The sequence below is a fragment of the Homo sapiens genome, chromosome 17 (genome assembly GCF_000001405.40).
Source record: "Homo sapiens chromosome 17, GRCh38.p14 Primary Assembly".
NCBI lineage: Eukaryota > Metazoa > Chordata > Mammalia > Primates > Hominidae > Homo > Homo sapiens.
Window position 1 is genome coordinate 80,098,741 of NC_000017.11, and position 24,655 is coordinate 80,123,395.

A 24,655-nucleotide genomic window follows, 5' to 3' on the forward strand; every position below is an offset into this window, starting at 1 on the left:
CCAGCCTGGCCAACATGGCGAAACCCCATCTCAACTAAAAATACAAATATTAGCCAGGCATGGTGGCGGGCGCCTGTAATCTCAGCTACCCGGGCGTGGTGGTGGGGGTGGGTGCCTGTAATTCCAGCTAGTTGGGAGGCTGAGGCAGGTGAATCGCTTGAAGCCGGGAGCCAGAGGTTGCAGTGTGCCAAGATTGTGCCATTGCACTCCAGCCTAGGTAACAGAGCGAGACAGCCTCAAAAAAAAAAAAAAAAAATGCCGGCGGGTCACAGTGGCTCACACCTGTAATCCCAGCACTTTGGGAAGCCGAGGCAGGCGGATCACGAGGTCAGGAGATCGAGACCATCCTGGCTAACACGGTGAAACCCTGTCTCTACTAAAAAAAAAAAAAATACAAAAAATTAGCCGGGCCTGGTGACGGGCATCTGTAGTCCCAGCTACTCAGGAGGCTGAGACAGGATAATGGCGTGAACCCGGGAGGCGGAGCTTGCAGTGAGCCGAGATCGCACCGCTGCACTCCAGCCTGGGCGACAGAGCAAGACTCCATCTCAAAAAAAAAAAAGAATGCCTCCTAGATGGTGATGATGGGTGACCCATAAAGCACCGACCCAGTGCCTCTCAGCCTCTTCCCTGAGATCCAGGGGCGCAACACCTTCACGCCGTCCCTTTTCAGGCGTAGGTCTCGCCTCCTCTTCGGCATTTCCTGGAATCTGAGTTTGTGGGGGGCCAGCAGGTGTCTTTCTTCTGGTTTGCATAGCCCTATATGGAGTCTCTTTTCCTACCCAGAACCTTTCAGAGATCGTGGCCCTGCAGACACGCCTTAAGCACCTGCAGGCTGTGAAGGAGGGGCGCTACGTGTTCCTGTTCCGCTCCAAGCAGTCCCTAGTGCTGGAGCGCCAGCGCCTGGACAAGCGACTGGCTCTCATCGCCACCATCCTGGACCGCGTGCGGGACGAGTACCCCCAGTTCCAGGAGGCCCTGCACAAGGTCAGCCAGATGATCGCCAACAAGCTCGAGTCACCAGGGCCCTCCTAGGGAGCAGCCTGGACTCCGCCTTGCAAGGCCTCCAGGAAGAGATCCGGAATTGTGTTTGTCATGAGGGACTTGGAATCTTTTGTGTTCCTAAAAACCACATGTACCCTCAGAAGGGCATCGTTTAAGAGAAATAAGCCAGCCCCACCCATAGGAATCTTTTTAGCCACTCAGCAATTTAATAAACCAGGTAAAATCCTAGCGTTTCCCATGGCATCCCATCGCAAAGACAGAGCCTGTGACTGCAGACCCACACACCCACACTCCCACACTGGGCTTACTCGTCCAGGTAACACTTTGGTTTGCAGCACTCCCAAATCTGCACGTGCCTCTCACAACACAACGCTGCCACAGGTCCACAAGCTGGTGGGCTGAGCAGAGGTGGGAAAGTTAAGGCAGCTCCAGCCAGCCTGGCCCGGGAGGCTGGTCCCCCCAGCACTTCCCTCTACTAGGTGCATCTGAAAACCCACAAACCACCTTCTTTACCAGTTTTCCCATCCCCACCCCTTAGAACTCTCAGGTCCCTTTTCCTGCCCCCATGTCCCCATTTGAGTTAAATTCAGATCCACAGCTTGCAGGAGAAAGTCAGTGGCCCCAGACACACGTAACAGGGTGAGCACTGAAATAAGAGCACGCTGGGGCGTCCACACCAAGGGACTACGCCCCAGTCTGCCCACCTATCTTTTCTCCATCATTAACCCAGCGCTCTTTCTCCCTGGACTTCCAAGTACCAATGACCTTGGGGCTTCTTTGCAGTTTAAAGGGAAAATGCTCTACAAAATAATTTCACTTTCAAACATTTCAGCAGAAGAATAAAATCTTTTTTCTGAATATCTAGTAAGCCTTTCTGAGTCAGCCTTACTTATTTTAAAACATTGTAGAAATACAGAAACCACAACAGAGGTGGAAGGGAGGCTTTTGTTTTTTTTTTTTTGAGACGGAGTCTCGCTCTGTCGCCCAGGCTGGAGTGCAGTGGCGCGGTCTCGGCTCGCTGCAAGCTGGAAAGGGGGCTTTTAATGCCCCTATGCCCCTACCCAGGAACAACACCTCTGTGTTTTGGTGTGGCTCCTTTTGTATTTTTCTGCACATACATTTTATTAGGCAAGTTAAGGTTATACTGTGTGTTTTTTGTATCTCACATGTAAAAATGTGCTCCTCTTAATGTAAGCATTTTCTCATTTTATGAAAAAATTCCCCCTGTGTCAGTTTAATGTTTTCTCAATTGTCAGTTTTATGGGTTATCACAATGTTTTGATTATTCCTTTCTGGAATAACTGTGAGTTATGGAGCACACTTAAGGACTTTCCAAATGTTGGCTGTTTCTAACTTGGCGCTGAGCGCCTTTGGCCGCCTTTCCGATGATGCCCTCGGGACGCGTTGGCAGGAGGAATCCCTGGGCGCAAGGCGCGGCTGGGCCAGCCCCTTACAAAGCCCTACGAGCTGCGGGGACCCAGGCCGGGGCAGCGGGGGCCACGCCCCATCTCCGACCCCACGGGGACCGGGCCGGGACTGCGCCAGCGGGGGCCTCGCCCCGTCTCTGACCCCAGAGGAACCGGCAGCGGGCAGCACGCGTGGGCCTCTCCCCGCGGGACGCCGGACGCGCAGCCAGACGCGCTCCCCAGGCCCCCTCCGAGAGCGAGGACGCGCCCAGGCCCGCTCTGCCGGAGCCGCCACTGGGGGGCGTAGCGCGGACGCGCACCCTTGCCTCGGGCGCCTGCGCGGGAGGCCGCGTCACGTGACCCACCGCGGCCCCGCCCCGCGACGAGCTCCCGCCGGTCACGTGACCCGCCTCTGCGCGCCCCCGGGCACGACCCCGGAGTCTCCGCGGGCGGCCAGGGCGCGCGTGCGCGGAGGTGAGCCGGGCCGGGGCTGCGGGGCTTCCCTGAGCGCGGGCCGGGTCGGTGGGGCGGTCGGCTGCCCGCGCGGCCTCTCAGTTGGGAAAGCTGAGGTTGTCGCCGGGGCCGCGGGTGGAGGTCGGGGATGAGGCAGCAGGTAGGACAGTGACCTCGGTGACGCGAAGGACCCCGGCCACCTCTAGGTTCTCCTCGTCCGCCCGTTGTTCAGCGAGGGAGGCTCTGCGCGTGCCGCAGCTGACGGGGAAACTGAGGCACGGAGCGGGTGAGACACCTGACGTCTGCCCCGCGCTGCCGGCGGTAACATCCCAGAAGCGGGTTTGAACGTGCCTAGCCGTGCCCCCAGCCTCTTCCCCTGAGCGGAGCTTGAGCCCCAGACCTCTAGTCCTCCCGGTCTTTATCTGAGTTCAGCTTAGAGATGAACGGGGAGCCGCCCTCCTGTGCTGGGCTTGGGGCTGGAGGCTGCATCTTCCCGTTTCTAGGGTTTCCTTTCCCCTTTTGATCGACGCAGTGCTCAGTCCTGGCCGGGACCCGAGCCACCTCTCCTGCTCCTGCAGGACGCACATGGCTGGGTCTGAATCCCTGGGGTGAGGAGCACCGTGGCCTGAGAGGGGGCCCCTGGGCCAGCTCTGAAATCTGAATGTCTCAATCACAAAGACCCCCTTAGGCCAGGCCAGGGGTGACTGTCTCTGGTCTTTGTCCCTGGTTGCTGGCACATAGCACCCGAAACCCTTGGAAACCGAGTGATGAGAGAGCCTTTTGCTCATGAGGTGACTGATGACCGGGGACACCAGGTGGCTTCAGGATGGAAGCAGATGGCCAGAAAGACCAAGGCCTGATGACGGGTTGGGATGGAAAAGGGGTGAGGGGCTGGAGATTGAGTGAATCACCAGTGGCTTAGTCAACCATGCCTGCACAATGGAACCCCGTAAGAAACCACAGGGATCAGAGGGCTTCCCGCCGGGTTGTGGAACACACCAAGGCACTGGAGGGTGGTGCGAGCAGAGAGCACAGCATCACTGCCCCCACCTCACACCAGGCCCTACGCATCTCTTCCATACGGCTGTCTGAGTTTTATCCTTTGTAATAAACCAGCAACTGTAAGAAACGCACTTTCCTGAGTTCTGTGACCCTGAAGAGGGAGTCCTGGGAACCTCTGAATTTATAACTAGTTGATCGAAAGTACAAGTGACAACCTGGGATTTGCCATTGGCCTCTGAAGTGAAGGCAGTGTTGTGGGACTGAGCCCTTAACCTGTGGAGTCTGTGCTGACTCCAGGTAGTGTCAAGATTGAATTGAATTGTAGGACACCCAGCCGTGTCCAGAAAGTTGCAGAATTGATGGGTGTGAGAAAAACCCTACACATTTAATGTCAGAAGTGTGGGTAAAATGTTTCACCCTCCAGCCCAGAGAGCCCTAATTTACCAGTGGCCCACGGTGGAACACCACGTCCGGCCGGGGGCAGAGCGTTCCCAGCCAAGCCTTCTGTAACATGACATGACAGGTCAGACTCCCTCGGGCCCTGAGTTCACTTCTTCCTGGTATGTGACCAGCTCCCAGTACCAGAGAAGGTTGCACAGTCCTCTGCTCCAAGGAGCTTCACTGGCCAGGGGCTGCTTTCTGAAATCCTTGCCTGCCTCTGCTCCAAGGCCCGTTCCTCAGAGACGCAGACCCCTCTGATGGCTGACTTTGGTTTGAGGACCTCTCTGCATCCCTCCCCCATGGCCTTGCTCCTAGGACACCTTCTTCCTCCTTTCCCTGGGGTCAGACTTGCCTAGGTGCGGTGGCTCTCCCAGCCTTCCCCACGCCCTCCCCATGGTGTATTACACACACCAAAGGGACTCCCCTATTGAAATCCATGCATATTGAATCGCATGTGGGTTCCGGCTGCTCCTGGGAGGAGCCAGGCTAATAGAATGTTTGCCATAAAATATTAATGTACAGAGAAGCGAAACAAAGGTCGTTGGTACTTGTTAACCTTACCAGCAGAATAATGAAAGCGAACCCCCATATCTCATCTGCACGCGACATCCTTGTTGTGTCTGTACCCGAGGCTCCAGGTGCAGCCACTGTTACAGAGACTGTGTTTCTTCCCCATGTACCTCGGGGGCCGGGAGGGGTTCTGATCTGCAAAGTCGCCAGAGGTTAAGTCCTTTCTCTCTTGTGGCTTTGCCACCCCTGGAGTGTCACCCTCAGCTGCGGTGCCCAGGATTCCCCACTGTGGTATGTCCGTGCACCAGTCAATAGGAAAGGGAGCAAGGAAAGGTACTGGGTCCCCCTAAGGACATACGAGTTGCCAGAATCACTTCCGCTGACACCCAGTGGACCAAGCCGCACCTTTATGCAGAAGTGGGGCTCCCAGCCAGGCGTGGTCACTCCTGAAATCCCAGCACTTCGGAAGGCCAAGGGGGGTGGATCACTTGAGCTCAGGAGTTCGAGACCAGCCTGGGTAACATGGCAAAATCCCGTCTCTACAAAAATACAGAAAATTAGCTGGGTGCGGTGGTGTGTGCCTACAGTCCCAGCTACTCAGGAGGCTGAAGTGGGAGGATTGCTTGAGTCTGGGAGGTGGAGGTTGCAGTGAGCCAGGATCTCACCACAGCACTCTGGCCCAGGCGACAGCTGTTTGGCCTGTTTCAAGTGTCTACCTGCCTTGCTGGTCTTCCTGGGGACATTCTAAGCGTGTTTGATTTGTAACATTTTAGCAGACTGTGCAAGTGCTCTGCACTCCCCTGCTGGAGCTTTTCTCGCCCTTCCTTCTGGCCCTCTCCCCAGTCTAGACAGCAGGGCAACACCCACCCTGGCCACCTTACCCCACCTGCCTGGGTGCTGCAGTGCCAGCCGCGGTTGATGTCTCAGAGCTGCTTTGAGAGCCCCGTGAGTGCCGCCCCTCCCGCCTCCCTGCTGAGCCCGCTTTCTTCTCCCGCAGGCCTGTAGGAGCTGTCCAGGCCATCTCCAACCATGGGAGTGAGGCACCCGCCCTGCTCCCACCGGCTCCTGGCCGTCTGCGCCCTCGTGTCCTTGGCAACCGCTGCACTCCTGGGGCACATCCTACTCCATGATTTCCTGCTGGTTCCCCGAGAGCTGAGTGGCTCCTCCCCAGTCCTGGAGGAGACTCACCCAGCTCACCAGCAGGGAGCCAGCAGACCAGGGCCCCGGGATGCCCAGGCACACCCCGGCCGTCCCAGAGCAGTGCCCACACAGTGCGACGTCCCCCCCAACAGCCGCTTCGATTGCGCCCCTGACAAGGCCATCACCCAGGAACAGTGCGAGGCCCGCGGCTGTTGCTACATCCCTGCAAAGCAGGGGCTGCAGGGAGCCCAGATGGGGCAGCCCTGGTGCTTCTTCCCACCCAGCTACCCCAGCTACAAGCTGGAGAACCTGAGCTCCTCTGAAATGGGCTACACGGCCACCCTGACCCGTACCACCCCCACCTTCTTCCCCAAGGACATCCTGACCCTGCGGCTGGACGTGATGATGGAGACTGAGAACCGCCTCCACTTCACGGTGGGCAGGGCAGGGGCGGGGGCGGCGGCCAGGGCAGAGGGTGCGCGTGGACATCGACACCCACGCACCTCACAAGGGTGGGGTGCATGTTGCACCACTGTGTGCTGGGCCCTTGCTGGGAGCGGAGGTGTGAGCAGACAATGGCAGCGCCCCTCGGGGAGCAGTGGGGACACCACGGTGACAGGTACTCCAGAAGGCAGGGCTCGGGGCTCATTCATCTTTATGAAAAGGTGGGTCAGGTAGAGTAGGGCTGCCAGAGGTTGCGAATGAAAACAGGATGCCCAGTAAACCCGAATTGCAGATACCCCAGGCATGACTTTGTTTTTTTGTGTAAGGATGCAAAATTTGGGATGTATTTATACTAGAAAAGCTGCTTGTTGTTTATCTGAAATTCAGAGTTATCAGGTGTTCTGTATTTTACCTCCATCCTGGGGGAGGCGTCCTCCTCCTGGCTCTGCAGATGAGGGAGCCGAGGCTCAGAGAGGCTGAATGTGCTGCCCATGGTCCCACATCCATGTGTGGCTGCACCAGGACCTGACCTGTCCTTGGCGTGCGGGTTGTTCTCTGGAGAGTAAGGTGGCTGTGGGGAACATCAATAAACCCCCATCTCTTCTAGATCAAAGATCCAGCTAACAGGCGCTACGAGGTGCCCTTGGAGACCCCGCATGTCCACAGCCGGGCACCGTCCCCACTCTACAGCGTGGAGTTCTCCGAGGAGCCCTTCGGGGTGATCGTGCGCCGGCAGCTGGACGGCCGCGTGCTGTGAGTTCTGGGCTCTGTGCCAGCATGATGGGGAGGGCGACGCGCATTTCTCACACGGCAGGGAGGGCCACACGCGTTTGTTTCTCACACGATGGGCAGGGCGACACATGTTTGTTTCTCACACGGCGGGGAGGGCGACGGGCATTTCTCACAGGGCGCTCCCTGGGTCTTTTACTCACATAGGTCTAAATCCCATGTAAACACGTGTTCAGGACTCACCAAGCCCCTGCTTGTCATTTAACTCAGGAAAACTCTCAGGAACGACAGCACTTGGATTTGCCTTAATCTTAAGAGAAGTTGCCTTCGGAAATGCGTTTTTCTTTTTTTGCTCATTCATTTACTCAGTGTCCACGCACTGACCCTCCGTGCCGGGTGGTTTGGATCCTGCTCCCGGGGACAGACACACAGTGAGGGGAAGCCATAAGCAAGTCCATGCAGACACAGCGTCAGGGAGTGGTCATGCAGAGAGCACGCTAGAAGCCAGCTGTGCAGACACGGGGCAGGGAGGTCCCCTCTAGAAGCCAGCTGTGCAGACGCAGGGGACAGGGATGGCCTCTCTGGAAGCCAGCTGTGCAGATGTTGGGGGCAGGGGTGGCCTCTCTGGAAGCCAGCTGTGCAGGAGTGGGGGGTGGGGAGGCCACTCTGGAAACCAGCTGTGCAGATGCAGGGGACAGGGGTGGCCTCTCTGAGCTGACCTCTGAGTAGAGAGACCCAAGAGAAGTTTCTCAAAGCATCTTATCAAGCTAGGTATGGTGGTTCATGTCTGCAATTCCAGCACTTTGGGAGGCCAAGGCGAGAGGGTCACTTGAGCCCAGGAGTTCAAGACCATCCTGGGCAACATAGCAAGACCCCATCTCTTAAAAAATAAAAATAAAAAATTAGCTGGGAATTGTGGCACATGCCTGTGGTCCCAGCTACTCAGGAGGCTGAGGCAAGAGGATCCCTTGAGCCCAGGGGTTCGAGGTTGCAGTGAACCATGATTTTGCCACTGCACTTCAGCCTTGCTGAAGACCCCGTCTCAAAAAACAAACAACAAACAGGCATCTTATCAGATCTCGGTCTTGAAAGCACTCAGCGTAGTCTTGCCCAGGGGAGGGTGGGTGCGGTGTGAGCCCGTCCTGCGAAATTAGCTGTGCTGTGTTAACAGAGGACGCGTCTTCCTGTGGACCGGGTTTATCTGCGGCTTTCATTTCTCGGAGGTGCTGTTTGCCTTGCACTTGACCCCCAGCAAACCTCAGGGGTCCTTCTCAGGCATGGCTGGGCTGGGATCTGGGAGGACTTTGGCCACAAGCTCCTAGGCCTGGAAAGGTTCTGTTCAGCCCCTGCCCAGCCTTGCTTGGGGTCATGGGACAGGCATGTGTGCCAGTTCCGGTACCAGCCAGTTCCTGGAGGTCAGCCCCTTGGGGGCCCCTCAGGGGTGGTGTGGGCCCAGCCAGGCGGTGCGCCTCTTCTGATATGCCCTGAGAGTTGATCACGCTGGTGCCAGGGTGCCAAGGGCTGCAGGGCTCGGCACGGCCGCCTGTCCCAGGGTCAGTGTGCTGCAGGGCTGGCCAGGCCACTCCGCCCTCCCAGGGCACCAGGGCCCGGGGGTGCTCTCTGGGTGCTCTCAGGCTCGTGTGGCCCCTTGGGTGTGAGCAAGCCTGGCTGGCCTCTGTCCCGCAGGCTGAACACGACGGTGGCGCCCCTGTTCTTTGCGGACCAGTTCCTTCAGCTGTCCACCTCGCTGCCCTCGCAGTATATCACAGGCCTCGCCGAGCACCTCAGTCCCCTGATGCTCAGCACCAGCTGGACCAGGATCACCCTGTGGAACCGGGACCTTGCGCCCACGGTACAGCGGCGGGCGGCGGGCGGGGGCACTGAGCTGGGGAGCGCAGGTGCTGAAGCGCCGTCTCCTGCATGTCCCAGCCCGGTGCGAACCTCTACGGGTCTCACCCTTTCTACCTGGCGCTGGAGGACGGCGGGTCGGCACACGGGGTGTTCCTGCTAAACAGCAATGCCATGGGTAAGCTGCCCGCCGCCCAGCGCCCGGGCCGGGGTCTCCTCCGTGCTGCCTGCCCTGGAGACTGGAGGTCCGCATGAGGGGCCCTGGGCACGGTGCTGGGCCTTGTGTTTTCTGGGAAATGAGTCCTATGGGCTGATGCCTCTCCCAACTCTGGCCTTCTGTGCTCCTAAGGAGGGTTCTGGGGCCCTGCCTGGAGGTGGGCTGGCACCACATATCTTTCCGTCCCATGCCAGGTTCCTCCTGAGTCAGGCTTAGCACGGCTTCCCCAGGCCACTCTGAGCTCCTCGTGGGGAGAGAGCCTCAACTCTCCGCCTGTGATTGGCCCATCTGTGGGGTGCAGAGCCCTCCAAGTGAAGAATCTGTCCCCCAACCCCAGAGCTGCTTCCCTTCCAGATGTGGTCCTGCAGCCGAGCCCTGCCCTTAGCTGGAGGTCGACAGGTGGGATCCTGGATGTCTACATCTTCCTGGGCCCAGAGCCCAAGAGCGTGGTGCAGCAGTACCTGGACGTTGTGGGTAGGGCCTGCTCCCTGGCCGCGGCCCCCGCCCCAAGGCTCCCTCCTCCCTCCCTCATGAAGTCGGCGTTGGCCTGCAGGATACCCGTTCATGCCGCCATACTGGGGCCTGGGCTTCCACCTGTGCCGCTGGGGCTACTCCTCCACCGCTATCACCCGCCAGGTGGTGGAGAACATGACCAGGGCCCACTTCCCCCTGGTGAGTTGGGGTGGTGGCAGGGGAGGCAAGGGGCTGGCCGGGACGCGTCTCCTCAGGCCCCAGCAGACGGTCCCGTGTTGTGGCTGCAGGACGTCCAGTGGAACGACCTGGACTACATGGACTCCCGGAGGGACTTCACGTTCAACAAGGATGGCTTCCGGGACTTCCCGGCCATGGTGCAGGAGCTGCACCAGGGCGGCCGGCGCTACATGATGATCGTGGTGTGTGCCCCCACACTGTGGGTCTTTGGGAAGGGGGCCGCCCGGTGCCCAGTGGCTCCTTCTCTGTGCAGCGTCATCCTCGTGCCTGTGTGGTCGCCGAGGATGTTTTCTGAGGGTCTTTGTGATATCGAGGGAATATCAAGAAGTTTGCAGGCTTGGCCCCAGCTGTCCAGGGAGGTCGGGTTTGAGGGTCCCCAGAAATGGCCGGGTGCTACTCAGGGTTCTGTCAGATGTAGGTTACTTGAACTGCCTTAAAGCAAAAGGCCAGGGGCATGATAAACTGATGTCACCTGGTCCTGGAAAGTGGAGGGCCCGGTGGGCCTGGGCATGGGTATCGCTGGAACTGTGGAGGCTCCGTGTGCCTTCTGGCCGTGCCTCTCCTTCTGGCCGGCTCTGAATCCCTGGAAAGGACGGCGTGAGTGAGGGCAGCTTCCAGCCCTCATGCTGGCACCACAGAGCGGAGACTTCTTCCCATCAGCTCCCATAGAAAAGTCCCAAAGCAGGACTCTTGAGTCACCCAGCACAAAGAGGCCCTTCCCTGAGCCAGTCCCACAGCCAGAAGGATGCAGTTTGGGGGCTGGTCCAGCCCGAGTCTGGTGTCCGGCACGATGGCCAGAGGAGGAGGTGGGAGGCAGGGCGAGCTGAAAAGATCCAACAGTTCCTGCCCGGAAGATCCACTTCAGCAGAGGAAGCACAGATGAGATGTGGGGCTGTGCTGATGCTGCCTGTTTCCATCCCTGCCTTCTGCAGGCAGCAAACAGTAGTAGCCCTTAAGAGCAGGAGTGGAAACACAGACTTTTTTCTTTCTCACATTTTTTTAATTATAAAAGAAAAGTGATTACTGTAGAACACTTGGGAAACTCTAGAGGTTTAAAGAAAAGGTAAAGGTAAAGCTTCCATTCCGGCGCGCCCCTCATCAGCCAGCTGGTCCTGACTCGCCCGGCCCTGGCTCCTCTCCAGGCAGGCGTGTGCAGGCATGTGCAGGTACACAGGCAGGCATGCTGTACACACGCATGATGTCATCCCCAGCCTCATCCTCTCACTGTCTCAGTTTTCCCCGTGGCTGGCGCCAGGGCTCTGGGCCACCCTCACCTTGACAGGTTTCCCTCTTCCCAGGATCCTGCCATCAGCAGCTCGGGCCCTGCCGGGAGCTACAGGCCCTACGACGAGGGTCTGCGGAGGGGGGTTTTCATCACCAACGAGACCGGCCAGCCGCTGATTGGGAAGGTAGGGCGAGGGTCCAGGGGACGGGGGTTAGAAAGCAGAGGCCTCCAGCCAGGGGGAGCCGGCAGCTGCTCAGGAAGACGGTGGGATTTGAGGAGCCATCACGCCCAGTGGGACAGCTGAGAGGAATGGGCCACAGTGGCCCGTGACGATGGTGGCTCCTACAAGGAATGGCCCCGTGAGTTCTTCCATCAGCAGGCCTTTGACTTCATGGGCAGCTGGGCCTGGCCCAGGCACAAGCCCTGCAGACCCTCAGTGAGGCCTTAGGGTCCTCCTTGTCCTCCCAGCCCCCCAGGGGCCTCCAGGCAGGGCCCCCGCTGAGGGAGCAGCTAGGGAGGGTCTGGTGCGGATGTGAGGCTGCCTGGCAGGGCTTGCACGGGGCCGTCTCCGCTGCCCTTCTCCCTGACGCTCTCTGGTTCTGCAGCCCAGCCCCTGGGTGGACGTGTTGGGGGTGACCCCTCGTTTTCCCAGGGTTGAGGCCCCTTGGCCCCGCATCAGTGCCTTGTGGAGAAAGAGCTGCTCATTGACCTCCAGGGTGCAGGTCTCTCAGATTTGCAAATGTGGGCGTCCACTAAGAGTGAGGCTGCCCCTCTGCTCAGGCTGAGGCTCAGTGGGGCTTCCATGCAGGCCCTGGGTGGGGCCGGGTCTCCCCACTGCAGCCTCTCGTTGTCCAGGTATGGCCCGGGTCCACTGCCTTCCCCGACTTCACCAACCCCACAGCCCTGGCCTGGTGGGAGGACATGGTGGCTGAGTTCCATGACCAGGTGCCCTTCGACGGCATGTGGATTGTAAGTGTGGCCCCCTCCTGAGCATCCCCAAGGCCTCTGGGGACTACCCCACCCTCCTCACTCTGGGCAGAGTCACCTACCAGCAGCGCTTCTCTTGCAGGACATGAACGAGCCTTCCAACTTCATCAGGGGCTCTGAGGACGGCTGCCCCAACAATGAGCTGGAGAACCCACCCTACGTGCCTGGTCAGCTCGCCCCCCACCTACCCTGGGGACTTAATCAAATCAGAGACTCCCTTGTCTGGCCTGGGAGACTTAGCACCCTCATCTCTGAGAAGCAGATGGGCCAGCGGGGAAAGGGGCGGGGGGGGGATCCCCAGGAGAAAGGCTCAGGCTGGGAGACTCAGCCAAGCAGTGCAGACAGGGTGGGTGCAGAGGCACAGGCCCTGCCGGAGGAGACGCCGCTCACAGGTGCTTGCCAGAGCACAGTGAGGCCGACTCGACTCAGAGCCGTCTCGATAGGCGCAGGGACCATGCAGCGGAGACCTACCCACCCGTGGGGAGAGGTCAGGCCCAACTCGAATGCAGCACGGGCAAGTGGATTTCTAGCCAGGGAGCAGGGTGGGCTCAGAGGCAGGAATTACCAAGAAGAAGCATGGGGGTCAGGGGGATTCTGGCTGAACTGACCCAGCAGGATTCTTGCTGAAGGCAGGCCAGGGTGACCAGACATCGCCTGAGGGGTGGTGGAGGTTGGGGCTTCTCGCCAAACTGTCTTAGCAGGAATGGCAGAAACTGGGTTTTACAAGGAAGTACAAGGATGGGCCTGGGAGAAGGTTTGGGGGCCTGAGGCTATAGTTTGGCCCAGCAAAGAATCAGTGAGAGGATGGGGTTTTGGGCTTAGGTAAACAGGCAGGGGAGTGCTTGAAATGGGCCAAGAGACGGTGGATGTGAAGTCTGGGGGTCTGCAGAGCCCAGGCTCCAGCACCCGCCCAGCCCTGTCTTAGAAGCAGTGGAGATGATTACCCAGGTTCCCGGGTAACGCCAGCCCCACAGAGGCGTGGGGAGCGGCTGCAGGTGCACCTCCAGGGCCAGCCTGAAGAGGCAGCGACCTGCACAGGGGCTCCTGGGAGGTGGGGGGCAGGGAGGGCACCTTGGAGCCTGCCGGGAGGAAGCTCCCTGGAAACCAGCCCCCGCCTCTTCCAGGGGTGGTTGGGGGGACCCTCCAGGCGGCCACCATCTGTGCCTCCAGCCACCAGTTTCTCTCCACACACTACAACCTGCACAACCTCTACGGCCTGACCGAAGCCATCGCCTCCCACAGGTGAGGGCCACGTCCCGCCCCACTGGGCTCTGCCCTCACAGCCTGTCCTACAAGGTTGGGGCCTCTGCAGGGCCTCAGGGAGGAGGAAAAGCGGAGGCCCAGACCACCCGGGGCCCGCTGGCGGCCCGAGTGCTCTCCCCACCCGCTGCCTGCACCCCAGCCTGAAGCTGGAGCGCTCCTTCCCACTTCATGCCTGGGGCTTGGAGAGGAAGGACCCTGGATGCTGACAGGAGTCTGCATCAGCGGGGACCTCATGACTCCTGTGAGGCTGGGGGGGGTCCTGGCTCACCTACAGGCATCAGGTGGCCCAGACAGAGGCAACTGTGCCCGCAGACATGGGCAGTAGCCTCGCCGTCCTCCTCCCCAGCCTCTGCCTCATCCCAGAAAGCTCCTTGCTCCCAGCTCTGCCCTGCTGGTGACAGGGTTCCCGAGTGACCCCGCTCCACACAGCCCTCACGGTGTCCCCCACCACCCCAGGGCGCTGGTGAAGGCTCGGGGGACACGCCCATTTGTGATCTCCCGCTCGACCTTTGCTGGCCACGGCCGATACGCCGGCCACTGGACGGGGGACGTGTGGAGCTCCTGGGAGCAGCTCGCCTCCTCCGTGCCAGGTGAGCTCCTACCAGGAGGGGCTGCTCAGCAGAGTAGAGCCGGGGGCCTCTATGGGAGGCTTGCCGGGGCCCCCCACCCACTTAGCAGGTGGGGCTCTGGGTCACTTGGCCTGAGCTGGCTCTGCTGCAGCAGCCTGAGGACCAGCCTGACTCTGCCCTCCCAGAAATCCTGCAGTTTAACCTGCTGGGGGTGCCTCTGGTCGGGGCCGACGTCTGCGGCTTCCTGGGCAACACCTCAGAGGAGCTGTGTGTGCGCTGGACCCAGCTGGGGGCCTTCTACCCCTTCATGCGGAACCACAACAGCCTGCTCAGTCTGGTAGGGTGGGGGTGGCGGCATGGCAGGTGGGCGATCCCACCCACCCAAGACTCTCCCCTGGGAATCCCACCCCTGCTGGAGAAGCACCCCATGCTGGGTGGCTGAGAAGTGCAGCTCTCCCGAGGCGGGGACTCCAGGGGACCGCGGCCCCAGCACCCAAGTGCTTCCTTTGCCCCCGCCTGCCCTGCAGCCCCAGGAGCCGTACAGCTTCAGCGAGCCGGCCCAGCAGGCCATGAGGAAGGCCCTCACCCTGCGCTACGCACTCCTCCCCCACCTCTACACACTGTTCCACCAGGCCCACGTCGCGGGGGAGACCGTGGCCCGGCCCCTCTTCCTGGAGTGAGTGACCTAGGCAGGGGCGGTGGCCCATGTGTGCCCTGGGGGAGGGGCACGTAACTCCCAGGCAGCCCTGTCCTGCTGTGGGCTGTGTTCCCCAGGACCCAGCAGGTTGCCGCTGAGTGAGACAACATTTGGGCCTGGCTTAAGGGGGAAGGGCAGCAAGAAAACCCAGTAATATCCCCCAGACAGGCCGTAGTACACACGAGGAGTTCCTAACAACAGCCCTGCACATCAGTGTGTTGAGGGAGGATTCCCAGAGAGTGAGGTGATTAGTTAACTATTTGCAGAAGTCAATTTATTTTTCTTGCATACCATAGAAACATAAGTTCCAGATAAATTAAATAGTTAATGTCAAAAATCAAGCTGTGGAGGCCAGGCACGGTGGCTAACGCCTGTAATCCCAGAACTTTGGGAGGCTGAGGCGAGTGGATCACCTGAGGTCAAGAGTTCGAGGCCAGCCTGGCCAACATGGTGAAACCCATCTCTACTAAAAATACAAAAATTAGCCGTGCATGGTGGTGGGCGCCTGTAGTCCCTGCTACTCAGGAGGCTGAGGCCAGAGAATCCCTTGAACCTGGGAGGAGGAGATTGCAGTGAGCCGAGATCGCGCCACTGTACTCCAGCCTGTGTGACTCCATCTCAAAAAAAAAAAACCAAGCTGTGAAAGACTCCACAGGAAAAGATAAGTGAATGTGTATCTCTGGGGAAAGGTTTCATTTAGAGAAAAAAAAAAAAAAAAGGTGAACTTTATTTGACCATAGCAGAAAAAAAAATGTAAATCTCTGAATATAAACACAAAAAGATTAAAACTGCTCTGAACATGGACTGTAACAGCAGAGAAGGCATTGTCAATAAAACAGCAAATAGCTACTCTTCCTAATAGGTAGAGAACTCATACGTTGGTAAGACCAAGACTAAGAACCAAATTGGAGGAACACTGTTTGCAAAACAGGAGATACGAATGGTATCCACACATTCTTCACCCGGAAATCCAAGAAACGCAATTTGTGTTTTAATTACTATTTTAATGACCTTGTTGTTTCTGTCACTACACTTTTTTTTTTTTTTTTTTAGTGGTTGCCCTAGGGATTACAATTAACATCTTAATTTTAGCCTCGTTGGAACTGATGCCAACTTGCTTTCAATAGCATAAAAAAGCTTTGCTTCTATGTGGTTTCCATTGCCTCTCGTTCCTCTGTGCTGTTACACGTCTGTATCCATGATGAGCCCATCCACGCAGATTTATAATGACCGCCTTATTCAATTATCTTTTAAGTCAAATAGGAGGGAAAAATGGGTTACAAACAAAAAGTACATACACACTGTCTGCCTTTTATATTTACTGATGTAGTTACCTTTACCCATGGTTTTATTTCTTCATGTGGCTTTGACTTCTTGTCTAACATCTTTCATTTACAGCAGAAGGACTCCCTTTAGTATTTATTGTAGGGCAGTTCTGCTAGTGATGAATTCTCTCAGTTTTTGTTGACTTCAGAGTCTCTTAATTTCTCCTTCATTTTTTGAAAGTTCTGCTCAACGTAGGGTTCTTGACTGGCGGTCGTTTCTCTGAACACTTTGAACTTGTCAGCCCATGGCCTCCGTGGTTTCTGCTGAGTAGCTTCTGTCTTGCCTCTTCCCAGATTCTCTGTCTTTGGCCTTTGAAGTCCCGATGGTGTGTCTAGGTGTAGATCTCTGAGTTTATCTTACTGGGAGTTTGTTGAGCTTCTTGGACGTATGCATTGATGTTTTTCATCAAACTTGGGCGGTTTTTCAGCCATTACTTCATAAAATATTTTTTCTGCCCCTTTCTGTCTTCTACTCTGGGACTTCCGTTCCACACATTGGTATGCTTGACGGTGCCCAGGGGTCTTTGCAGCTCTGTTGACTCCTTCCTCGTTGTGTTTTCTTTCTGTTCTTCAGACTGCTTAGTCTGACTGCCCTGTCTTCAAGGTCACTGATTCTTTTTTCCACCAGTTCTCATCTGCTGTTGAGCCCCTCTAGTGAACTTCTCATTTTAGTTGCTCTCTTTTCAACTCCAGAATTTCTGTTTCATTCCTTTACGTTTCTCTCGTTAAGGATATTCCCTATCTGGTGAGTCATGTTCTCACACTTTCCTTTAGTTCTTCAGACACGGTTTCGCTGAGCTCTTTGAACACATTTAAAGTAGCTGACGTAAACTCTTTGTCTAGTAAGTCCAATGTCTGGGCTTCTCTAGGGACAATTTTTATTAACTACTGTCCCCCCATCTGTGGGCCATACTTTCTTGTTTCTTTGCGTGTCTCATACATTTTTGTTTCAGACTGGACATTTTAAACGCAGCTGCTGTGGTCATCAGATTCCCCATCCCCCTCAGGTCTCGTTGCTATTGCTGATTGTTTTGTGACTTTCTTGAGCTAATTCCATAAGGTCTGTGTTCTTCATTGTGTGTGGCCACCAAAGTCTCTGCTTGACTAGCTTAGTGGACAGCCAATAATTGGTCAGATATCCTTCACAGATGGCATCCGTGAGTCTCCCAGCCTTTGCTGGGGCGAGGTGGGGAGCACCGTCAACACTTAGCTAGGCCAAGGATTCTTGCTGTTCTTACAAAGATTCAGCCATTTTGTTAAATACATGCTCCCCAGATGGCTGCAAACCCTTGGTTAGTTTCAAGAGTCCTAAAAATGTCAACTCTGACCATTTTTGCCGATGTTCCTGTTTTCACAGAGGAGAGGATCTTGAGAGGGGCTTACTCCACCATCTTCACTGACATCACTCCAAGAAATGTATTTTGCAAGAAATATTTTGAAGCAGAAAGACACCATTTATTTTGCCCATGAATTAGAATACATTAGAGAAAATAAGACTATCCCTTGCTGGCAAGAACACAGTGACACAGTAGGGTGGAATATAAATTGGCACATTTGTGGAAAGCAACAGTACATATCAGTCAATGTTTTTGAGATTCACATTGATGCGTTAATTTTACAAATAGAAATAGGGCCTAAAGAAGTCACCTCAAAAGGCATGAACGCTCCATGAATGTATCCATGCAGGGATCATAGCTGAGCACTGGATGCCCCCTGCACGTCCGGGGGCAGGAAACAGGACAGGGCAGAGCTGCGTCACAGGGCAGGACAGTCTCCGTTAGACGGAGAATCCTCCGTAGAGCTGCTTGCACATGTACATTCATCTTTTTGTCAGATGTTAATTCAAGTTGCCTTTGGTTGTGGGACTGGGAGGATCTTTTCTCTTTGTTGATACTTTTTCGTACTTTCCAAATACTTGACTGATGAGCACATGCTGCCTTGGTTACCGGAGGATAAGTGAGCGAGCAAAGTGAGGCCAGTGCTGTGTCCATCCTGGTGCCTCAAGCACAAGCCCCTATTCCTGCCCTGAGCCCAGCTGCCGGCATGTCCGGGGAGAAGGCTTCTCCCAGCTCCGGCATTGACTTCTATCTGCTGGAATCATCCCTGCCCGTCTGACCTGAGTCCTCCAAGTCCTCCGGCACCTTGAGCTCCAGAGAGCAGAATTCAGCCTCTTCCTGTGCCTCCCCAGGGTGGGCATATGAGCCAGCCCCATCCCATTCATCACCCGTATGCCTGTGTGCCCATCCCCCTTGCAGGTTCCCCAAGGACTCTAGCACCTGGACTGTGGACCACCAGCTCCTGTGGGGGGAGGCCCTGCTCATCACCCCAGTGCTCCAGGCCGGGAAGGCCGAAGTGACTGGCTACTTCCCCTTGGGCACATGGTACGACCTGCAGACGGTGAGTCTGGGGACCCTAAGCCCTGGGGAGACGGGAGACCAGAGCAGCCCTCCCACCTGCCCCCTCCACCCAGTTGGTGTGACCAGGTGGCGGAAAGAGGAACGTATGTGTTGAGTCCCGGCCATGTGCCAGGCCCCCACCCGGCTGCTCCGCACCCATCAGCCTCTCCGCTCCTCACACCATCCCCATTTCCCAGATGAGCAGACTGAGGCCTGCTTGCAGAACCTGGCCAAGTCCCACGGCCATCACAGGCTGTGCCTGTGCTGAGCTGGCATACCCAGGCCTCTCAGGCACTGTCCCCACTCAGTAGCCAGGAGGGTCCCTACCTACAGTGAGCCCTGAGTCTGCGCCTGAAGTCACAGTTCAGCCCGTCTGTGCCAGGCCTCCTAGGCCTCCACGTGGAGCCCCGGGAGATGGAGAGCGTGGTTCCTGAGGACAGCATGGGGGCCTCGGCACGGCCCAGAATCCTCAAAGCAACATCTCCCTCCAGGTGCCAGTAGAGGCCCTTGGCAGCCTCCCACCCCCACCTGCAGCTCCCCGTGAGCCAGCCATCCACAGCGAGGGGCAGTGGGTGACGCTGCCGGCCCCCCTGGACACCATCAACGTCCACCTCCGGGCTGGGTACATCATCCCCCTGCAGGTACCTGGGCCAGGCGGCTATGGTGGGGGTGTGGACAGCACACTGCAGAGCTGGGGGAGGCACAGGGAGATGGTGGGGGAGAGGCCCAGGTGGGGCTTCTGAGGGGCCGCCCCCCGCAGTGTAGGTTATCAAGGAGCCAGCCAGGCCAGTGAGGTGGGGAGGGCACAGCCCCACAAAGGCGTGGAGCATGGCCGGCAGGAGCTCAGTGGTCTGCATGGTGGAGGTTCTGCCGGGCCCGGCCTCGGGCAGCCGTGGGATAGCACTTGAGGTGGGGAAGGTCTTGGGTCATCACCACGGGGTTCCAGCCCCTGCGGCCGCAGGTGTTCCTGCAGATCCTAGTTACTGGCAGCCTGGTGCTGTACCAGCCTAGCATTCCCGGGCCCTGGAGGCCTCCACCTCCACCAGGGTGGGGATGATGACATCACGTGTCCTTCCCTTTCCAGGGCCCTGGCCTCACAACCACAGAGTCCCGCCAGCAGCCCATGGCCCTGGCTGTGGCCCTGACCAAGGGTGGGGAGGCCCGAGGGGAGCTGTTCTGGGACGATGGAGAGAGCCTGGAAGTGCTGGAGCGAGGGGCCTACACACAGGTCATCTTCCTGGCCAGGAATGTGAGTCCTGGGGCTGCTCAGGCTGGTGGGCAGGGGCCGGCTCGGGGTTGAGAAGGGGTGAGGGGACCTGGGCTTGGGGGTCCCACGATGGCTACCTGCCACTAGGACACTCTAGCAGGTGGCCTGGGGTCCTAGAGTGAGCAGTGGGGCCGTGCACTCTGCCCTTTCGTGTACACAGAGGGAGGTCACCTCCCTGATGCCATCATGAGTCCCTGTTCTCATGGGTGTTCCTGCCCCAGCTGTCTGCTGACACCTCCACATTCTCTGCCTTTTCATCTCTCTCTGCTCGGCCCAGAACACGATCGTGAATGAGCTGGTACGTGTGACCAGTGAGGGAGCTGGCCTGCAGCTGCAGAAGGTGACTGTCCTGGGCGTGGCCACGGCGCCCCAGCAGGTCCTCTCCAACGGTGTCCCTGTCTCCAACTTCACCTACAGCCCCGACACCAAGGCAAGAGGGCCCAGAGTGGCACAGGGATCGCGTCCCCCAGCCGTGGTGCAGGGGGCAGAAGGTGCTGGGCGTCCTGGTGACCGATGCCAGGAACAGAGGATGCTGGGACCTCCCAAGGGGGTCTTTGGGGAGGAGTGGGAAGGGTCAGGCCACACAGGCTGTGCCTTTCCTCCTCCTGTGTCTACACGTGGGTGATGGGGCCACAATGACGACCTCTGAGCCGTGTTGAAGCAGCACCGCGTTTCTGGCGTGCGTTAAGGTGACCCGCACTGAGAGCCGGGGTCCCCCTGCGCCTGCCGGGGAGGAACCGGGTGCGAAGCATCCCAGGGCCAGACGGAGCTGCCCCCTGAGCGCCGGGCCTCGCTGCTGCTGGGATCTCGGGGCCAGATGGAGCCGCCTTCTGAGCGCTGGGGTCTCACTGCTGCTGGGATCTCGGGCTGCTCCATTTGTGCTCTCTCTTTTCCAGGTCCTGGACATCTGTGTCTCGCTGTTGATGGGAGAGCAGTTTCTCGTCAGCTGGTGTTAGCCGGGCGGAGTGTGTTAGTCTCTCCAGAGGGAGGCTGGTTCCCCAGGGAAGCAGAGCCTGTGTGCGGGCAGCAGCTGTGTGCGGGCCTGGGGGTTGCATGTGTCACCTGGAGCTGGGCACTAACCATTCCAAGCCGCCGCATCGCTTGTTTCCACCTCCTGGGCCGGGGCTCTGGCCCCCAACGTGTCTAGGAGAGCTTTCTCCCTAGATCGCACTGTGGGCCGGGGCCCTGGAGGGCTGCTCTGTGTTAATAAGATTGTAAGGTTTGCCCTCCTCACCTGTTGCCGGCATGCGGGTAGTATTAGCCACCCCCCTCCATCTGTTCCCAGCACCGGAGAAGGGGGTGCTCAGGTGGAGGTGTGGGGTATGCACCTGAGCTCCTGCTTCGCGCCTGCTGCTCTGCCCCAACGCGACCGCTGCCCGGCTGCCCAGAGGGCTGGATGCCTGCCGGTCCCCGAGCAAGCCTGGGAACTCAGGAAAATTCACAGGACTTGGGAGATTCTAAATCTTAAGTGCAATTATTTTTAATAAAAGGGGCATTTGGAATCAGCTTCTGCGGGTCTCTCTGGGATTCAGGGCAGGGAGGATGTATCCAGGGGCCCTGGAACAGAGGCAGCTCCTTTGTCCTCAGCAGGCCCCCAGACATTCCCACAGTGGGTGTGCGCCGTCCTCTGTCTCAAGCCGGCATCCATCACGTCATGTTCCCATGTCACGAGGCCTGACATCACCTCATGTCCTGTCCCCATCTCACCTCACATCCCGTCACCTCATGTCCCCGCATCACCTAAAGCCCCATGTCACCTTTGTGTCCCATACCCCCATCTCACATGCCTACCTCATGTCCCCATGTCACCTTCACGTCCCATCTCACCTCACCTCCCCTCCCCACCCCACCTCACCTCCCCTCCCCTCCTCCCCTCCCCTCCTCACCTGACCTCCCCTCCCCACGTCACCTCCCTTCCCCTCCCCACCTCACCTCCCCTCCCCACCTCCCCTCCCCTCCCCTCCCCACCCCACCTCACCTCCCCTCCCCTTCCCATGTCACCTCCCTTCCCCTCCCCACCTCCCCTCCCCTCCACTCCTCACCTACCCTCCCCATGTCACCTCCCCTTCCCTCCCCACCTCCCCTCCCACCCCACCTCCCTTCCCCTCCCCTCCTCACCTGACCTCCCCTTCCCATGTCACCTCTCCTCCCCTCCCAACCTCCCGTCCCCATCCCACTTCACCTCCCCTCCTCACCTGACCTCCCCTCCCTATGTCATCTCTCCTCCCCTCCCACCGCACCTCCCCTCCCCTCCTCCCCTCCCCTCCTCCCCTCACCTGACCTCCCCTCCCTACCCCACCTCACCCCCTCTCCCCTCCTCACCTCCTCTCCTCCTCTCCCCATTCATCCTCACACTCCTGCTTCCCCCATCTCTAAGGTGACTGGGGAATGTCCAGTGGGTGTTAGGCATGTGGTGGGAGTGTGGCCCCCAGGGCTGTGTAGACAACAGGACCCTGCAAGGAAGGGGCTTTCCAACAGTGGGGCCTAAGACTTTAGGCAGAGGCCAGAAATCTGTCCCCAAGTGATGCAGTTAGAGAGGATTTCAGGCCCAGGTTCTCCCTGGCAAGCCCAGAGAAAGGGAAAGAAGCCCATTTTATTGAAATAACAGCAGGAGAAATCACTGCCCTTAGCCAGTCAGACGCTTCAGTTTATCACTTAGAATTAATGCAGTGGCTCACACCTGTAATCCCAGCACTTTGGGAAGTCCAGGCGGGCAGCTCACTTGAGGTCAAGAGTTTGAGAGCAGCCTGGCCAACATGGTGAAACCCCATCTCTACTAAAAATACAAAATTAAGGCCAGGCGCAGTGGCTCACGCCTGTAATCCCAGCACTTTGGGAGGCTGAGGCAGGCGGATCACGAGGTCAAGAGATGGAGACCATCCTGGCTAACATGGTGAAACCCCGTCTCTACTGAAAATACAAAAATTAGCTGGGTGTGGTGGCACACACCTGTAGTCCCAGCTACTTGGTCTCGCAAGGCTGAGGCAGGAGAATCGCTTGAACCCGGGAGGCGGAGGTTGCAGTGAGCCGAGATAGCACCACTGCACTCCAGCCTGATGACAGGGCGAGACTGTCTCAAAAAAAAAAAAAATTAGGCATGGTGGTGTGTGCCTGTAGTCCCAGCTACTCAGAAGGCTGAGGCACAAGAATCACTTGAACCCGGGAGGCAGAGGTTGTAGTGAGCCAAGATCGTGCCACTGCACTCCAGCCTGGGCGACAGAGTGAGACTCCATCTCAAAAAAAAAAAAAAAAAGGCCAGGCGCGGTGGCTCATGCCTGCAATTCCAGCACTTTGGTAGGCCAAGGCAGGCGGATCACGAGGCCAGGAGTCCGAGACCAGCCTGACCAACGTGGCAAAACCCCATCTCTACTAAAAATACAAAAATTAGCTGGGTGTGGTGGCACGCGCCTGTAATCTTAGCTACTCAGGAGGCTGAGGAAGGAGAATTGCTTGAATCTGGGAGGCGGAGGCTGCAGTGAGCTGAGATCACGCCACTGCAGTCCAGCCTGGGCGACAGAGTGAGACTCCATCTCAAAAAAAAAACAAAAGAAGTGGCCAACCCCGAAGTCCTCTGCAGAGCGATGGATTACTTTTGCCACCTTCCTGAAAACCAGGAGCAGAAAGTACAGTGACTTCCCCGTGGAGCAGCATGACATCCCTGGGGGGCAGTGTGTCTACCTGGGTGACCAGCACTATTGTCTTCTGGGTCAGCTTTTGTAGAAGCGGACACTGCTCTTCTGCCATGTCACAGGCCAGGGCCTGACCCCCGTGTGCCACTTTTACCATCCAGATTGACATCACTAAGTCATCTCGCGCCCTAAAGTTCCTCTGTAAGGTGGACGTAGTAGTGACAATAACATATGTTACTTCCTCCCCTCATCCTAGTCCCATGTGGGGTTAAGAAGCAGGAATGTTTGTCTTGAGGCCAGCAGCGTGCCTGGTCTCGGTGCTGAGGGCGACCTGCCCTAACGCTCTGCCAGGCTCGCCAGGTCTGCAGTTGACACCCAAGACGTTCAGGGAGGGTTGATGGAGCGTGGTAGCCTCGGCCAGCCTGGACCGACCATCAGCGTCCTCACCTTCTGTGCCACCGCCCAGCCTGGCAGGGCCACTGTAGCCTTAGCCCCTTGTAGGATCTGACCCTTCCTTGGCTGCTGTAACGAAATACCCAAGACTGGGTAATTTATAAACAACAGAAATGGATTTCTCACAGGGCTGGAGGCTGGGAAGTCCAAGATCGAGGCAGGTTCTGTGTCTGGTGAGGGCTGCTGTCTGTATCATAAATGGCGCACTCTCCATCATCGTGGTAGAAGGCGAAGACAAGCTCCCTTGAGCGCTAAATGCCACTGATGAGGATGGAGGGCCCTCAGGACTCATCACCTCCCAACAGCCCCACCACTTTTTTTTTTTTTTTTTTTTTGAGACCGAGTTTCACTCTTGTCACCCAGGCTGTAGTGCAATGGTGCAATCTTGGCTTATTGCAACCTCTGCCTCCCAGGTTCAAGTGATTCTCCTGCCTCAGCCTCCCGAGGAGCTAGGATTACAGGCATCCGCCACCATGCCTGGCTAATTGGATCTTTAGTTGTATTTGTATTTTAGTTTATTTGTATTTTAATTGAGATGGGATTTCACCATGCTGGCCAGGCTGGTCTTGAACTCCTGACCTCAGGTTATCTGCCTGCCTCAGCCTCTCAAAGTGCTGGGATTACAAGCATGAGGCACTATGTCCGGCCAGCCCCACCTCTTAAAACCATGTCATTGGGGATTAGGTTTCAACAGGAATTTGGGGCGGGGGCAAACCTTCAGACCATAGGACAGGGCTATCAGGAGTCCTGAGTGAGGAGGTTGGCATGGGGTGGGACAGTGCTCCCTGTGTGGGAAGGGACAGGGTCGGAGGGGGGAGAGGAGTTGTTTCCATCCTCTGAGAGGCCAGGGGTCTCCTCAGGGTGGTCCAAACGGTACAGCCCATTACATGGGACGCTGGCCTGTGGGCACCTCAAGGCAGCTTCATCTGTTTCTCACC

At 57.6% G+C, this 24,655-nt stretch overlaps 2 protein-coding genes and 1 non-coding gene across 9 annotated transcripts in view, besides 5 other annotated features; all 3 read left to right on the forward strand.

Annotated features, from left to right (window-relative positions):
• CCDC40 (coiled-coil domain 40 molecular ruler complex subunit) overlaps nt 1-1,873 on the forward strand; it is a 63,972-nt gene extending 62,099 nt beyond the window's left edge. Inside the window, exon 20 of the mRNA NM_017950.4 lies at nt 787-1,873. Within this exon, the coding sequence (NP_060420.2) occupies nt 787-1,035 (249 nt within the window). The 3' untranslated portion in view covers nt 1,036-1,873. The remainder of the gene's footprint in view (nt 1-786) is intronic.
• MIR1268B (microRNA 1268b) lies at nt 88-137 on the forward strand. Its single transcript, NR_039607.1, has one exon. It is a non-coding gene; the product is annotated as a microRNA 1268b (primary transcript).
• Nucleotides 2,388-3,007: a silencer, noted in NCBI's record as "silent region_9099". NCBI's record gives its function as "represses an Ori minimal core promoter by ATAC-STARR-seq in GM12878 lymphoblastoid cells {active_cell/tissue: GM12878}" and the evidence as "EXISTENCE:reporter gene assay evidence [ECO:0000049][PMID:35858748]".
• GAA (alpha glucosidase) lies at nt 2,841-21,141 on the forward strand. 7 transcript variants are annotated; one of them, NM_001406741.1, is made up of 21 exons: nt 2,841-2,980; nt 3,071-3,150; nt 5,815-6,392; nt 7,009-7,154; nt 8,817-8,982; nt 9,060-9,156; nt 9,550-9,669; nt 9,749-9,867; nt 9,957-10,088; nt 11,205-11,315; nt 11,987-12,100; nt 12,201-12,285; nt 13,243-13,360; nt 13,838-13,971; nt 14,136-14,287; nt 14,478-14,626; nt 18,228-18,369; nt 18,860-19,009; nt 19,453-19,617; nt 19,913-20,065; nt 20,532-21,141. In NM_001406741.1, the coding sequence occupies exons 3-21, from the start codon at nt 5,847-5,849 to the stop codon at nt 20,589-20,591; spliced, it is 2,859 nt and encodes a 952-aa protein (NP_001393670.1). In that variant the 5' UTR covers nt 2,841-2,980; nt 3,071-3,150; nt 5,815-5,846; the 3' UTR covers nt 20,592-21,141. The 7 variants fall into 7 exon arrangements, 6 of the variants coding, with proteins under 6 accessions (NP_001393670.1, NP_001393671.1, NP_001073271.1 ...); NM_001406742.1 differs by having other exon boundaries at nt 2,841-2,885; nt 3,071-3,185; NM_001079803.3 differs by having other exon boundaries at nt 2,841-2,885.
• Nucleotides 3,338-3,447: an enhancer, noted in NCBI's record as "active region_12928". NCBI's record gives its function as "activates an Ori minimal core promoter by ATAC-STARR-seq in GM12878 lymphoblastoid cells {active_cell/tissue: GM12878}" and the evidence as "EXISTENCE:reporter gene assay evidence [ECO:0000049][PMID:35858748]".
• Nucleotides 11,071-12,046: an enhancer, noted in NCBI's record as "H3K4me1 hESC enhancer chr17:78083610-78084585 (GRCh37/hg19 assembly coordinates)". NCBI's record gives its function as "activates a minimal SCP1, AML or CMV promoter by ChIP-STARR-seq in naive H9 embryonic stem cells {active_cell/tissue: H9 hESC(naive)}" and the evidence as "EXISTENCE:reporter gene assay evidence [ECO:0000049][PMID:30033119]".
• Nucleotides 14,076-14,588: an enhancer, noted in NCBI's record as "H3K27ac-H3K4me1 hESC enhancer chr17:78086615-78087127 (GRCh37/hg19 assembly coordinates)". NCBI's record gives its function as "activates a minimal SCP1, AML or CMV promoter by ChIP-STARR-seq in naive and primed H9 embryonic stem cells {active_cell/tissue: H9 hESC(naive and primed)}" and the evidence as "EXISTENCE:reporter gene assay evidence [ECO:0000049][PMID:30033119]".
• Nucleotides 18,984-19,485: an enhancer, noted in NCBI's record as "H3K4me1 hESC enhancer chr17:78091523-78092024 (GRCh37/hg19 assembly coordinates)". NCBI's record gives its function as "activates a minimal SCP1, AML or CMV promoter by ChIP-STARR-seq in naive H9 embryonic stem cells {active_cell/tissue: H9 hESC(naive)}" and the evidence as "EXISTENCE:reporter gene assay evidence [ECO:0000049][PMID:30033119]".